Source organism: Homo sapiens, chromosome 12 (assembly GCF_000001405.40).
Source record: "Homo sapiens chromosome 12, GRCh38.p14 Primary Assembly".
Classification (NCBI taxonomy): domain Eukaryota; kingdom Metazoa; phylum Chordata; class Mammalia; order Primates; family Hominidae; genus Homo; species Homo sapiens.
The window spans coordinates 40,477,743-40,495,073 of NC_000012.12; the positions used below are offsets into that span (position 1 = coordinate 40,477,743).

The window sequence follows — 17,331 nt, forward strand, 5'->3', positions numbered from 1 at the left end:
TTCCCTTTATGCTCACATCTGTTCTCTGAGTCTTCCCCATATTAGAAAATGTTACCATCACTGACTCAATTCACTCAGGTAAAAATATTGTAGTTATCCTTGATGGCTCTCTTTTTTTTTGTACCTCTCATATCTAAACAAGGCCTGTTACTGCTACTTCCAACACATATCTTGACCCTATCCACTATTCTCAGTCTCCTTTATCACAGTTTCAGCACAAGCCACTCATAAATTGTCAGAACTTCTGAAATCACCTCATAATTGTTCTTCCTAATTCTATGATGCACCCCCTGCCATATATTTTCTACAGAGTGTAAAGAGGGATTTTAAATGTATATCAATTCTATGCTATTTCTCCCCTCTTTAAAATTATAGCCCCTTGCATTTAGAAAAACCTTCAGTCTTCCTCCCCTGATTCATAACATTTCGCTTGCTCCTACATATCTGACCTTACCTTATAATATTCCCCGCCTCAGCTCCCATTATCCAGATATACTCAACTTCTAGCTCTGCTTTTCTAGCAAGCATAGCTCCATCAGACTTACGACCTTTGTACTGGCTGTTACCTCTGCCTGGAATGCCATTCTCCTAGAGCTTCACTAGCAGGTTGCTTCTTGTTATCAGACTTCAGAATAAAGACCATCTTCTCACAGAAGCCTTTGCTAACCAGACAGTCTAAAATAGAACATCCCATTTTGTAGTATCAATTCACTTTATATTAATGCTCTGAAGCTTTTCTTGTTTGTGAATTTGGTTATTGGTTGGCTAGTTATTTTATTTATGTCTACCTCTCTCTTCCCACTAGAATGCCCCACGGAGCAGAGAACTGTTTATCTGCATCCCCTTTGAACAGCTACTTAATCTCGCTTTAGTTTCTATTTTATAAAAGAGAAAAGAAATATTATATATCTCATAGTATTAATCTAATGGTAAAATGAAGTGATACCTGTAAGTTGCTGACAACTTCTTTGACACACAATAGACATTAGATAAATGATTTTTATGAAAATAAACAAACAGAAAGAAGTTACGCTAGAGCTGGCACAGTGAAGATCACTGTGGTCCCAGGTACTCAGGAAGATTACTTGAACCCAGGAGTTTGTGATCAGCCTGGGCAACAAAGTGAGACTCTTTTTTTAAAAAGAAGTTACAATGTAGCAAAAAGACAAGTATGAAATAATATGGTGGTTATGGAGATGAAGAGGTATAAAAGCTGTACTAGAGAAATAAAGCCTCATGAGTCTTAAAGGTTAACCAAGGACCAAAACAGCTATTAATATCATTCTGCTTTTACTATGTGTTTGTGACAGGGGCAACAGGATCATCGACCGGACAGACAGACACAAGTGGACCATCAGCTAAAGTAACAGGGAATTATGGACAATCATCTGAAATACCAGGGACAATTAAATCATCATCTGATGTTTCAGGGACAATGGGGCAATCAGATACAACATCTGGACCATCAGTTGCAGTGACAAGGACTTCTGAACAATCGTCAGGAGTCACGGTGGCATCTGAACCATCAGTTGGAGTATCAGGGACAACTGGACCATTAGCTGAAATATCAGGGACAACCAGACCATTAGTTTCAGGGTTAAGGACAACTGGATCATCAGCTGAAGGATCAGGGACAACTGGACCTTCATCAAGAGAATCAGTGACAACTAGACCATTAGCTGAAGGTTCAGGGACAAGTGGACAATCGGTTACAGGATCAAGAGCAACTGGATTATCAGCTACAGAATTAGGGACAACTGTGTCTTTTACTGGAGGATTAGGTACAAGTAGATCATCTGCTAGAGAAACAAGGACAACTGGACCATCAGCTGACGGGTCAGGAACAACTGGACCATCTGTTGTGAGATCAGGGACAACTAGATTATCAGTTGGAGTGACAAGAGCAACTGAATCATCACCTGGAGTGACAGGAACAACTACACCATCAGCTGAAGAATCCAGGACAACAGGACCATCTGTTCTAGTGACAGGAACAACTGGACAATCAGGCCAAGGATCAGGGACAACTGGAAAATCTTTTATAGAATCAGGACCATCTGTTGTAGGATCAGGGACAACTGGACCAACATCTGCAGGATTAGGAACAACTGCACCATCAACCAGAAGATCAAGCACAACAAAACCATCAGTTGGAAGAACTGGGACAACTGGACAATCAGGTGCAGAATCAGGAACAACTGAACCATCAGCTAGAGTGGCAGGTGTAACTGGAACATCAGCTGAAGTATCAGGAAGAATTGAACCATCAGCTACAGAATCAAGTACAAGTAGACCACTAGGTGAAACAACAGGGACAACTATACCATCAATGGAAGGATCAGAGGCAACTGGACCATCTGTCATTGGATCAGAAACAACTAGACTATCAGTTATAGGATCAGGGACAACTGGAACTTCATCTGGAGGTTCAGGTGCAACAAGATCATCAGGTGGAGGAATGGGGACAACTGGACAATCAACTGCAAGATCAGAAACAACTGGACCACTTTTTGGATTGACAGGAACATTTGGGCAATCTGCTACAGTGACTGGGACATCTTCAAATTCAGCTGGAGTGACAACACCTGAAAAATCACCTGGAGTGGCAATGACAACAGGACTGTTGGTTGAAGGATCAGCTACAACTCAACCACGTATTTTAGAATCAGAAACAACTGAATCATCAGCTGGAGTGATAGTGACATCTGGACAATCAGCCAGAGTGACTGGGGCAACTGGACCATCAGCTGGAGAGACAGGAACAACTGAACCATCAACTGAAGGATCAGTTGCAGCTGTATTATTTGTTATTGGATCAGAAACAACTAGACCATTAGATATAGGATCAGGGACAACTGGAACTTTATCTGGAGGTTCAAGTACAACAAGATCATCAGATGGAACAACAGGGACAACCAGAAAATCAACTGCAAGATCAGAAACAACTGGACTTTCTGGATTGACAGGAACATCTGGGCAATTGGCTGGAGTGACTGGGACATCTTCAAAATCAGCTGGAGTAACAGTGACATCTGAAAAATCAGCTGGAGTTGCAGTGATAACAGGATCATTTGTTGAAAGACCAGTCACAACTGGACCACCTCTTTTAGAATCAGAGACAACTAGACCATCAGGTGGAGTAACAGTGACATCTGGACAATCAGCCAGAGTGACTGAAACAGTTGGAGCATCAGCTGGAGTGACAGGAACAACTGGACCATCAACTGAAGGATCAGGGGCAACTGGACCATCTGTTGTGGGATCAGGAACAACTAGACCATTAGCTGGTGAATCAGGTACAACTGAGTCATCAGCTGGAGTGACAGGGACAAGGCCATCATCATCAAGAGAATCAGCAACAACTGGACCATCAGATGAAGGATCAGGAACAACTGGACTATCAGCTGGAGTGACAGTGACATCTGGACAATCAGTTAGAAAGACTGGGACAACTGGAGCACCAGCTGGAGTTACAGAAACAACAAGACCATCTGTTGTCAAATCAGGGACAACTGGACCATCTGTTATAGGAACGAGGACAACTGGAACTTCATCAGGAGGATCAGGTGCAACAAGATCATCAGGTGGAGAAACAGAGACAACTGGCCAATCAGCTGTAAAATCAGGGACAACAGAATCATTTACTAGGTTGACAAGAACATCTGGGCAATCAGCTGGAATGACTGGGACATCTGCACAATCAGCTGGAGTGGCACTAACAAGTCCTTTTGTTGAAGGATTAGTGACAACTGGATCATCTACTGTAGGATTAGAGACAACTAGACCTTCAGCTGTAGGATCAGGAAAAACTGGACCTCCTGTTGTAAAAGCACAGACAACTGGACCATCAGCTGGAGTGACAGTGACATCCGGACAATCAGCTAGAATGACTGGGGCAAGTGGACCATCAGTAGGAGTGACAGGAACAACTGGACCAGCAAGTAAAGGATTAGGGACAATTAGACCATCTGTTGTAGGATTAGAGACTACTGAACTATCAGCTGAAGGATCAGGGACAACTGGACCACCTATTGTAGGAGAGACAACTGTACCATCAGCTGGAGTGACAGTTACATCTGGATACTCAGATAGAGTGACTGGGGCAACTGAACCATTGGCTGGAGTAACAGGAACCATTAAACCATCTGTTGCAGGATCAGTGACAACTGGACCATCTGTTACAGGAGTAGAGACAACTGCAAAAACTACATCTGGAGGATTAAGTACAACTATATCGTCAGTTGGAGGAACAGGGACCACTGGACAATCACCTGAAAGATCAGGGACAACAGGACCATTTACTGGATTGACAGGGACATCTGCACAATCAGCTGGAGTCACAATGACATCTATCCAATCAGCTGGAGTGCTAGTAACAACAGGACTAAATGTTGATGGCTTAGGGACAACTGGAAAAGCTCTTATAGGATCAGGAACAACTGGATTATCAGCTGAAGCTACAGGGACAATTGGACCATCAACTGAAGGATTAGAGAAAACTGGACCATCTATTACTGGATCAGGAACAACCAGACCATTAGTTACAGAATCATGGACAGCTGGAACTTCATCTGGAGGACATAGTACAACAAGTCCATCAGTTAGAGGAACAGAGACAACTGGACAATCAGCTGCAGAATCAGTGACAACAGGGCCAGTTACAGGATACACAGAAACCTCTGGTCCATCAGCTGGAGTGACAGTGACACCTCGGCAATCACCTACAGTGACTCAGACAACTGGATCATCAGCTGCAGTATCAGGGACAACTGTACAATCTCTTACAGTATCAGGGACCACTAGACCATCATCTGGACAAACAGAAATAACTGGATCGTCAGTTAAAGAATCAGGGACAACTGAATCATCAGCTGTAAGGTCAGGGACTACTGGACCAACAGCTGGAGTGACAGGTACAAATGGACCATCATCAGCTGGAGTGACAGGGATAACTGGATCATCACCTGGAGTGACAGGGACAACTGGATCATCACCTGGAGTGACAGGGACAACTGGATCATCTGCAAGATCAGGGACAAGTATACCATCAGTTGGAAAAACAGGAACGACTAGAACATCAGTTGAAGAATCAAGGACAACTAGACCATCAGCTGGAATAACAGGTACAAATGGACTATCAGCTGAAGTGACAGGGACAACTGGACCATTAGCTGGAGTGACAGGGACAACTGGACCATCAGCTGGAGTGACAAGGACAACTGGACTGTCAGCTGGAGAGACAGGGACAACTGGACTATCACCTGGAGTGACAAGGACAACAAGATCATCAGCTGGGCTAACAGGGAAAACAGGACTATCAGCTGGGGTGACAGGGAAAACTGGACTGTCAGCTGAAGTGACAGGGACAACTAGACTATCAGCTGGAGTGACAGGGACAACTGGACCATCACCTGGAGTAACAGGTACAACTGGAACACCAGCTGGGGTTACAGGGACAACTGAACTATCAGCTGGAGTGACAGGGAAAACTGGACTATCATCTGAAGTGACAGAAACAACTGGATTATCATATGGGGTGAAAAGGACAATTGGACTATCAGCTGGGTCGACAGGGACAAGTGGACAATCAGCTGGAGTGGCAGGGACAACTACACTATCAGCTGAAGTGACAGGGACAACTAGACCATCAGCTGGGGTAACAGGGACAACAGGACTATCAGCTGAAGTGACAGAGATAACTGGAATATCAGCTGTGGTGACAGGGACAACTGGACCATCAGCTGGGGTGACAGAGACAACTGGATCATCAGCTGGAGTGGCAGGGACAACAAGACTATCAGCTGGAGTGACAGGGATAACTGGACTATCAGCTGGAGTGACAGGGACAACTGGACTGTCAACTGAAGTGACAGGGACAACTGGACCATCAGCTGGGGCGACAGGGACAACTGGACTATCAGTTGGAGTGACTGGGATAACTGGGCTATCAGATGTAGTGACAGAGACAACTGGATCATCTGCAAGATCAGGGACAGGTATACCATCAGTTGGAGAAACAAGAACAACTAGCACATCAGTTGAAGAATCAAGGACAACTAGACCATCAGCTGGAATAATGGGTACAAATGGACTACCAGCTGAAGTGACAGGGACAACTGAACCATTAGCTGGAGGGACAGGGACAACTGGAATATTAGCCGGGGTGACAGGGACAACTGGACTATCAGCTGGGGAGACAGGGAAAATTGGATCATCAGCTGGGGTGACAGGGAAAACTGGATCATCAGCAAGAGTGACAGGAAAAACTGGACCATCAGCAGAAGTAACAGGGAAAACTGGACTATCAGCTGGAGTGACGGGGACAACTGGACTATCACCTGGAGTGACAGGGACAAGTGGACTATCAGCTGAAGTGACAGGGACAACTGGCCCATCAGCTGAAGCTACAGGGCTACCTGGAGTATCAGCTGGGGTGACAGGGACAACTGGATCACTAGCTGGAGGGACAGGGACAATTGGACTATCAGCTGGGGTGACAGGGACAACTGGATCATCAGCTGGGGTGACAGGGACAACTGGACTATCAGCTGGGGTGACAGGGATAGCTGGACTCTCAGCTGGGGTGACAGGGATAACTGGACCATCAGCTGGAGTGACAGGGACAACTACAGTATCAGCTGGAGTAACAGGGACAACTGGACTATCAGCTGAAGCAACAGAGATAACTGGACTATCAGCTGGGGTGACAGGGACAACTGGACTATCTGCTGGGGTGACAGAGACAATTAGACTATCAGCTGGGGTGACAGGGACAATTAGATCATCAGCTGGGGTAACAGGGATAACTGGACTATCAGCTGGAGTGACAGGGACAACTGGACCATCAGCTGGTGTGACAGGGTCAACTGGACTATTAGCTGGGGTGACAGAGACAACTGGACAGTCAGCTAAAGTGACAGGGACAACTGGACAATCTGTCGGAGTGACAGGGACAACTAGATCATCAGGTGGAGTGACAGGGATAACTGGACTATCAGCTGGAGTGACAGGGACAAATGGACTATCAGCTGTGACAGGAATGACTGGACTATCAGCTGAGGTGACAGGGACAACTGGACTATCAGTTGGGGTGACAGGGATAGCTGGACTCTCAGCTGGCGTGACAGGGATAACTGGACCATCAGCTGGAATAACAGGGACAACTACCATATCAGCTGGAGTAACAGGGACAAGTGGACTATCAGCTGAAGCAACAGGGATAACTGGACTATCGGCTGGGGTGACAGGGAAAACTGGACTATCTGCTGGAGTGACAGAGACAATTGGACTATCAGCTGAAGCGACAGGGACAATTGGATCATCACCTGGGGTGACAGGGACAACTGGATCATCAACTGGGGTGACAGGGATAACTGGATTATCAGCTGGAGTGACAGGGACAACTGGATTGTCAACTGAAGTGACAGGAACAACTGGACCATCAGCTGGGGTGACAAGGACTACTGGACTATCAGCTGGAGTGACTGGGATAACTGGGCTATCAGCTATAGTGACAGAGACAACTGGATCATCCGCAAGATCAGGGACAAGTATCCCATCAGTTGGAGAAACAGGAACAACTAGAACATCAGTTGAAGAATCAAGGACAACTAGACCATCAGCTGGAATAACGGGTACAAATGGACTATCAGCTGAAGTGACGGACAATTGGACCATTAGCTGGAGGGACAGGGACAACTGGACTATCAGCTGGGGTGACAGGAACAGTTGGATCATCAGCTGTGGTAACAGGGACAACTGGACTATCAGCTGGAGTCACAGGGACAACTGGACCATCAGCTGAAGAGACAGGGGCAACTGGACCATCAGCCGAAGTGACAGAGACAACTGGACCATCAGCTGGGGTGACAGGGACAGGTAGACTATCAGCTGAAGTGACAGGGACAACTGGCCCATCAGCTGAAGTAACAGGGCTACCTGGAGAATCAGCTGAGGTGACAGGGACAATTGGATCACCAGCTGGAGTGACAGGGACAACTCAGCTATCAGCTGTGGTGACAGGGATAACTGGACTATCAGCTGAGGTGACAGGGACAACTGGACTATCAGCTGGGGTGACAGGGATAACTGGACTATCAGCTGAGGTGACAAGGACAACTGGACTATCAGCTGGGGTGACAGGGACAATTGGACTATCAGCTGGGGTGACAGGGACAACCAGACCATCAGCTGGAGTGACAGGGACAACTGGACAATCAGCTGAAGTGACAGGGACAACTGAACCATCAGCTGGGTTGACAGAGACAACTGGATCATCAACTGGGGTGACAGGGGCAACTGGACCATTAGCTGGAGTGACAGGGACAACTGGAATATCAACTGAAGTGACAGGGACAACTGGACCATCAGCTAGGGTGACAGGGACAACTGTACTATCAGCTGGAGTGACTGGGATAACTGGGCTATCAGCTATAGTGACAGAGACAACTGGATCATCTGCAAGATCAGGGACAAGTACACCATCAGTTGGAGAAACAGGAACAACTAGAACATCGGTTGAAGAATCAAGGGCAACCAGACCATCAGCAGGAATAACAGGTACAAATGGACAATCAGCTGAAGTGACATGGATAACTGGACCATTAGCTGGAGTGACAGGGACAACTGGAATATCAGCTGGGGTGACAGGGACAACTGGACTGTCAGCTGGGGTGACAGGGACTATTGGATCATCAGCTGTGGTGACAGGTATAAATGGACTATCAGCAGGAGTGACAGGGACAACTGGACCATCAGCTGAAGAGACAGGGGCAACTGGACCATCAGCTGAAGTCACAGGGACAACTGGACCATCAGCTGAAGAGACAGGGGCAACTGGACCATCAGCTGAAGTCACAGGGACAACTGGACCATCAGGTGGAGTGACAGGGACAAATGGACTATCAGCTGAAGTGACAGGAACAACTGGCCCATCAGCTGAAGTGACAGGGCTACCTGGAGTATCAGCTGGGGTGACAGGGACAATTGGATCACCAGCTGCAGTGACAGGGACAATTCGGCCATCAGCTGTGGTGACAGGGATAACTGGCCTATCAGCTGAGGTGACAGGGACAACTGGACTATCAGCTTGGGTGACAGGGATAGCTGGACTCTCAGCTGGGGTGACAGAGACAATTGGATCATCAGCTGGGGTGACAGGTACAAATGGACTATCAGCTGAAGCAACAGGGACAACTGGACCATCAGCTGGAGTGACAGGGACAACTGGACTATCAGCTGGGGTGACAGGGACAGCTGGACTATCAGCTAGGGTGACAGAGAGTACAGGACTATCAGCTGGGGTGACAGGGACAACTGGACTATCAGCAGGAGTGACAGGGACAACTGGACCATCAGCTGGAATAACAGGTACAAATGGACTATCAGCTGAAGTGACAGGGACAACTGGACCATTAGCTGGAGTGACAGGGACAATTGGACTATCAGCTGGGGTGACAGGGATAGCTGGACTCTCAGCTGGGGTAACAGAGAGTACTGGACTATCAGCTGGGGTGACAGGGACAATTAGATCATCAGCTGTGGTGACAGGTATAAATGGACTATCAGCAGGAGTGACAGGGACCACTGGACCATCAGCTGAAGAGACAGGGGCAACTGGACCATCAGCTGAAGTCACAGGGACAACTGGACCATCAGGTGGAGTGACAGGGACAAGTGGAATATCAGCTGAAGTGACAGGAACAACTGGCCCATCAGCTGAAGTGACAGGGCTACCTGGAGTATCAGCTGGGGTGACAGGGACAATTGGATCACCAGCTGCAGTGACAGGGACAACTCGGCCATCAGCTGTGGTGACAGGGATAAGTGGACTATCAGCTGAGGTGACAGGGACAACTGGACTATCAGCTGGGGTGACAGAGACAATTGGATCATCAGCTGGGGTGACAGGTACAAATGGACTATCAGCTGAAGCAACAGAGACAACCGGACCATCAGCTGGAGTTACAGGGACAACAGGACTATCAGCTGGGGTGACAGGGACAACTGGACCATCAGCTGGAATAGCAGGTACAAATGGACTATCAGCTGGGGTGACAGGGACAACTGGACTATCAGCTAGGGTGACAGAGAGTACTGGACTATCAGCTGGGGTGACAGGGACAATTGGATCATCAGCTGTGGTGACAGAGACAACTAGACTTTCATCTGGAGTCACAGGGACAATTGGACCATCAGCTGAAGAGACAGGGGCAACTGGACTATCAGCAGAAGTGACAGGGACAACTGGATCATTAGCTGAAGTGACAGGGACAACTGGGCTATCAGCTGGGGTGACAGGGACAATTGGATCATCAGCTGTGGTGACAGGGACAACTGGACTATCAGCTGGAATAACAGGTACAAATGGACTATCAGCTGAAGTGACAGGGACAGCTGGACCATTAGCTGGAGTGACAGGGACAACTGGACTATCAGCTGGGGTGACAGGGACAACTGGACTATCAGCTGGGGTGACAGAGACAACTGGACAATCAGCTGGGGTGACAGAGAGTACTGGACTATCACCTGGGGTGACAGGGACAATTGGATCATCGGCTGTGGTGACAGGGATAAAGGGACTATCAGCAGGAGTGACAGGGACCACTGGACCATCAGCTGAAGAGACAGGGGCAACTGGACCATCAGCTGAAGTCACAGGGACAACTGGACCATCGGGTGGAGTGACAGGGACAAGTGTACTATCAGTTGAAGTGACAGGAACAACTGGCCCATCAGCTGAAGTGACAGGGCTACCTGGAGTATCAGCTGGGTTGACAGGGACAATTGGATCACCAGCTGCAGTGAGAGGGACAACTTGGCCATCAGCTGTGGTGACAGGGATAAGTGGACTATCAGGTGAGGTGACAGGGACAACTGGACTATCAGCTGGGGTGACAGGGATAGGTGGACTCTCAGCTGGGGTGACAGGGACAATTGGATCATCAGCTGGGGTGACAGGTACAAATGCACTATCAGCTGAAGCAACAGGGACAACTGGACCATCAGCTGGAGTGACAGGGACAACTGGACTATCAGCTGGGGTGACAGGGACAACTGGACTATCAGCTGGGGTGACAGGGACAATTAGATCATCAGCTGTGGTGACAGAGACAACTGGACTATCAGCAGGAGTGACAGGGACAACTGGACCATCAGCTGGAATAGCAGGTACAAATGGACTATCAGCTGAAGTGACAGGGACAACTGGACTATCAGCTGGGATGACAGGGACAACTGGACTATCAGCTAGGGTGACAGAGAGTACTGGACTATCAGCTGGGGTGACAGGGACAATTGGATCATCAGCTGTGGTGACAGAGACAACTAGACTATCAGCTGGAGTCACAGGGACAATTGGACCATCAGCTGAAGAGACAGGGGCAACTGGACTATCAGCAGAAGTGACAAGGACAACTGGATCATTAGCTGGAGTGACAGGGACAACTGGACCATCAGCTGTAGTGACAGGGAAAACTGAACTATCAGCAGAAGTGACAGGGACAACTGAACTATCAGCTGAGGTGACAGAGAAAACTGGACCATCAGCAGAAGTGACAGGGAAAACTGGGCTATCAGCTGGAGTGATGGAGACAACTGGACCATCAGCTGAAGTGACAGGGACAACTGGATCATCAGCTGGGGTGACAGGCACAACTGGACCATCAGCTGGAGTGACAGGGACAACTGGCCCATCAGCTGAAGCGACAGGGCTACCTGGAGTATCAGCTGGGGTGACAGGGACAATTGGATCACCAGCTGGAGTGACAGGGACAGCTCGGCTATCAGCTGTGGTGACAGGGATAAGTGGACTATCAGCTGAGGTGACAGGGACAACTGGACTATCAACTGGGGTGACAGGGATAGCTGGACACTCAGCTGCGGTGACAGGGATAACTAGACCATCAGCTGGAGTGACAGGGACAACCACAGTATCAGCTGGAGTAACAGGGACAATTGGACTATCAGCTGAAGCAACAGGGATAACTCTACCATCAGCTGGGGTGACAGAGACAACTGGACTATCTGCTGGAGTGACAGAAACAATTGGACTATCAGCTGGGGTGACAGGGACAATTGGATCATCAGCTGGGGTGACAGAGATAACTGGACTATCAGCTGGAGTGACAGGGACAACTGGACCATCAGCTGGTGTGACAGGGTCAACTGTACTATCAGCTGGGGTGACAGCGACAACTGGACAATCTGTTGGAGTAACAGGGACAACTGGACCATCAGCTGGTGTGACAGGGACAACTGGACTATCAGCTGGGGTGACAGGGATAGCTGGACTCTCAGCTGGGGTGACAGGGATAACTGGACCATCAGCTGGAGTGACAGGGACAACTACAGTATCAGCCGGAGTAACAGGGACAACTGGACTATCAGCTGAAGCAACAGAGATAACTGGACTATCAGCTGGGGTGACAGGGACAACTGGACTATCAGCTGGGGTGACAGGGATAGCTGGACTCTCAGCTGGGGTGACAGAGACAATTGGATCATCAGCTGGGGTGACAGGTACAAATGGACTATCAGCTGAAGCAACAGGGAAAACTGGACCATCAGCTGGAGTGACAGGGACAACTGGACTATCAGCTGGAGTGACAGGGACAACTGGACTATCTGCTGGGGTGACAGAGACAATTGGACTATCAGCTGGTGTGACAGGGACTATTGGATCATCAGCTGGAGTGAAAGGGACAACTGGACAGTCAGCTGAAGTGACAGGGGCAACTGGACAATCTGTTGGAGTGACAGGGACAACTAGATCATCAGGTGGAGTGACAGGGATAACTGGACTATCAGCAGGATTGAGAGGGACAACTGTTTCATCTGCAAAAGCAGGGACAAGTATACCATTAACTGGAAAAACAGGAACAACTAGAACATCAGTTGAAGAATCAACGACAACTGGACCATCAGCTGGAATAACAGGTACAAATGGACTATCAGCTGAAATGACAGGGACAAATGAACTATCAGCTGGGGTGACAGGGACAATTGGATCATCAGCTGGAGTGACAGGGACAACTGGACTGTCAGTTGAAGCAACAGTGACAACTGGACTATCAGCTGGAGTGACAGGGACAACTGTCCCATTAGCTGGGGTAACATGGACACCTGGACCATCTGCTGGAGTGACAGGAATAGCTGCACTATCAGCTGGAGTGACAGGGAAAAGTGGACTATCAGCTGGAGTGACAGGGAAAACAGGACTATCAGCTGGAGTGACAGGGACAACTGGACCGTCAGCTGAAGCAACAGGGAAAACTGGACTATCAGCTGGAGTGACAGGGATCACTGGACCATTTGCTGAAGTGACAGGGACAACTGGATTATCAGCTGGGGTGATAGGGACCACTGGATCATCAGCTGAAGTGACAGGAATAACTGGACTATCAGCTGGGGTGACAGGGAAGACTAGATCATCAGCTGGAGTAACAGGGACAACTGGATTATCTGCAAAATCTGGGACAAGTATACCATCAGCTGGAAAAACAGGAACAACCAAAACATCAGTTGAAGAATCAAGGACAACTAGACCATCAGCTGGAATAACAGGTACAAATGGACTACCAGCTCGAGTGACAGGGACAACTGAACCATCAGTTTGCACAACCACTGTAATAGGAAGAACTACAGGAGAGCCAGGAAGTAAGGTTACAGCCCCTGAAGGCAAATCTAGTTAGCTAAAGATGGGTCATTTAATGTGAATAACGTAATTTTTGGTGTTCCAGACTTGAATCTGTGTAAATTTATCACAATTAAATATGTTATTAAGAACTCAAATTGGTGAACAATGATGGGGGCTTTCCAGAATATTATAGATTCCTTAGACTTTTTGAGTTTATGTTTTCATGAGGACTACTGTAGGTGTTGGCAAGGGATGCACAGCTGGAGGACCAGACTCGGGCCACTACAGTTGGGAACCCAGCAGGCACAGCTCACCTGGGTACTGTGGTGTGGTCCAACATAAGCGTGGCTGAGACGTCCAATTATGATCGTAAGACGAATCAATTATGATTTAACCAAGGACCTAAATAGTGGAGAAATGATTAAGAGATGACCTAGATTTATCAATGTCTAAATTTGAATTTTACATAAGGGGCAGTAAGTTCATTATATTTACTAAGATGAACCATGTAAAGCTGATAATCAATTAGTGCTTTAACCAGGCAAAACTGAAGAACCACATGGAACTACCCCTGGAGCAGGTGAAAGCAGGACCAGATTAACCACACCTGGAAAATCAGGCAAGTGGGGTTGGAAGAATTTGGTCCCAACTGTAGCTCAACATAAGGTTTTCTTTTTTTTTTTTTTTTTTTTCTTTTTCTTTTTTTTAAAGACAGAGTCTCACTCTCACCCAGGCTGGAGTGCAGTGACAAGATCTCAGCTCACTGCAACCTCCGCCTCCCAGGTTCAAGCAATTCTCATGCCTCAGCCTCCCAAAGTAGTTGGGATTACAGGCACGCACCACCATGCCTGGCTATTTTTTATTTTTATTTTTATTTTATTTTTAGTAGAGACAGAGTTTCACCATGTTGGCCAAACTGGTCTCGAACTCCTGACCTCAAATGATCTGCCTGCCTTTGCCTCCCAAACTGAACATAAGGTTTTCTGATCAATGTAATTATCGTAATGAGTATATTGTAAATAAGGAAATCAGAAAGTCAGATCCAAATCATCTATTAGGTTCGTGCAAAAGTAATGGCAAAAACCGTAATTACTTTTGCACCAACCTAATAGTATTTAGGACCTTATATTTTATTAGGTGTTTTAGGACTAGGATGGAAGGAAAACAAATTGTCTTTACAGTGCTGATTTTATCAGGAAATAAACCTTAAATGAAGAAGCTTAAAGCAAGAAAATAATTGAGCACTTTTTGGTCAGCCAGGAACTGTTATAAGTTATGTAAACATGTCACTAATTTTCACAGCAACTGCTGAGATAAATGCTATTTTTATTCACATTTTCAAATGAGAAAGTCAAGGAGAAGTTTAGTTAGCTGCTGCAAGTGATAGTGTACACCAGAGAGGTCTGTCCTCAGAGCCTATTTCTTACCTTCTACACCATCCTCCCTCCTATGGCAGTGGGTATAAACTAGAGCAGAAAGGAAATATATTCCCTGGAGGGAATATCTCAATGGAGTCTCAGATATGCCAAATGCAACCTCTCAAAGAAAATCAGATTGATGAAAAGTCTACTATACCCGAAGTATTTGGACATTTTCTATTATAACAGCAGTGTCTCATGTTTTACTATTTAATTAAATTTTAATTATTTTTATTGCCATCTGTGTGTCAGACACTGTGATAAGTGTGTGGGCACAGAAGTGAATGAGTCTGACAGGGCCACTACTCTCAGGGCATCCTGTCTAGTGGGGGATTTAGCCAGTAAGAGAGAAGTACCTCAATAGTATTACAATTAATGTTAAGTGCTAAGAATAAGGTGAGGGTGCCAGGACAGTGACCTTCCACCTGGTGTCCCAAAGAATGAAGAGGCAGTTGTCAGATAAAGAGGATAAGACAGGGAGGGAAATGCTAAGAGAGCTCCATGGGGAAGGAAGTCAAAGGATCTTAGAAAGTTTAAGGTAGAAAGAGGCCAGGGTTCCCAGTGCTCTGTTAGGAAGCCAGAGGGTGTACAAAATAAGCCCAGAGAAGTCAGAAGGACCCTGTTCACACACAACAGAGCCTTGCCGCACAAGTTAAGGATTTTAGACTTGTTGCTAAGAGCTACGGGAAGTTACCAGAAGGTGAGAGACAGAAGAGTGACATGATCAGCTTCCCATTTTTAAAAGATCAGTAAGACTGCAAATGTGAAGAATTGTATAAAGTGAAAATGGAAGCAGAGAGATTTGCTAGGAAGCTATTGCTCAATCAAGGTAAGAGGCAATGGTTTAGGATAAATTATGGTGGTGGATGGAAAAAAGGGAAAAATTCAAAACCTATTTTTGGAGAACCATCAAGGGAATTTGGCGGTGGTTTGATGGGGATTTCGTTAAGGGTACTTTTCAAGTTAATATTTAGTTACTAGGATGATGGTTCTATCAGTTATTAAAATAGGGAATGTGAAGGAGCAGCAGTTTGCGGTGGGAAGATCACAGCTTCATGTTTGAAAGTTGAATTTGAGATGTCAGGGAGAAGTACAAATGAAAATTTCGAATTATGCTATTAAGATTCTTTTTCATTTGTTTTAAATTCAGCTACAACTGGAGTGCCTGCTGCAACTTCCCCAGGAGCTGAAGGTGAAAGCATAGCTTCCACGTCAGGTACTGGAACCACAACTGGGTTCAAAGTAGTTATGTTGATAAATATCTGGATAGTGCTCCAATAAAATAAGAACACTGCTCCTGACTTTACACTTTTTAATCTCAGTTGCCACGGGAGCCATCCCTCGGTCAACAATTGCACCAGGAAGTACCACTACTGGTAAGTAAGCAGGGGGATGTCAGATGTATTTTTGATTTGTTTTCATGCTCATTGCTTAATTTAAAACAGTGAAGTCATTAATAATAATAATGCCAGTTAATTACAATGTCTTTAAATATATTATCTCATAAATTACTTGAATGAACATTATTATCTCTTTTTGCTCATTAGGAACTTAGACGAAGATATTATCTAAGTTGATATGTTCCTGCAGCAAGCCAAATGGTGAAATCAATATTTTTCTCGATTGTTTATTGATTCCAAAACTGTGCTCTTCAGTGTGACGCCTTCCTTTGCTAAAGCAAAATATACGATGTCTTTAGTAACCCATCAATAGGCCAGGCGCGGTGGCTTATGCCTGTAATCCCAGCACTTTGGGAGGCCGAGACAGGTGGATCCCGTGGTCAACAGATTAAGACCATCCTGGCCAACATGGTGAAACCCCGTCTCTACTAAAAATATAAAAATCAGCAGGGCGTGGTGGCGTGCACCTGTAGTCCCAGCTACTCAGGAGGCTGAGGCAGGAGAATCGCTTGAACCTGGGAGGCGGAGATTGCAGTGAGCCGAGATCAGGTCACTGCACTCCAGCCTGGGCGACGGAGCGAGACTCCGTCTCAAAACAAACAAACAAAAAACACCAATAAAGCTCGCTTTTAAAATCACAAAGCTTAAATGTTTCCCATTTCTAACTAAAAGAATTGGAGCAGCAGGTTAAGAAAAATAAGATTTTTATTGTAATAAACTGTGGCACTTCCTATTCTGAAATAAGATTTGGAGAATTTTATTTGACAAAACTATAATATTATTGTTTTATAAGTCCAAATTTTATAACTTTCCTTCTTTTTACAATGATTCACAAATACTTATAGGGCAATTTCTTTTTCCTAACACTGAGTAAATG

General features: G+C 46.3%; 1 protein-coding gene and 1 pseudogene across 1 annotated transcript in view; one reads left to right on the forward strand and one right to left on the reverse strand.

Annotated features, from left to right (window-relative positions):
- The window catches only part of MUC19 (mucin 19, oligomeric (gene/pseudogene)), a gene marked incomplete in the record, with an annotated part of 177,364 nt that overhangs the window by 84,349 nt on the left and 75,684 nt on the right, over window positions 1-17,331 (forward strand). Inside the window, 4 exon segments of the mRNA NM_173600.2 lie at window positions 1,311-7,661; window positions 7,663-13,563; window positions 16,205-16,270; window positions 16,377-16,430. Of these exon segments, the coding sequence (NP_775871.2) occupies window positions 1,311-7,661; window positions 7,663-13,563; window positions 16,205-16,270; window positions 16,377-16,430 (12,372 nt within the window).
- Window positions 1,411-2,367, reverse strand: LOC100420584 (microtubule associated protein 6 pseudogene; annotated as a pseudogene).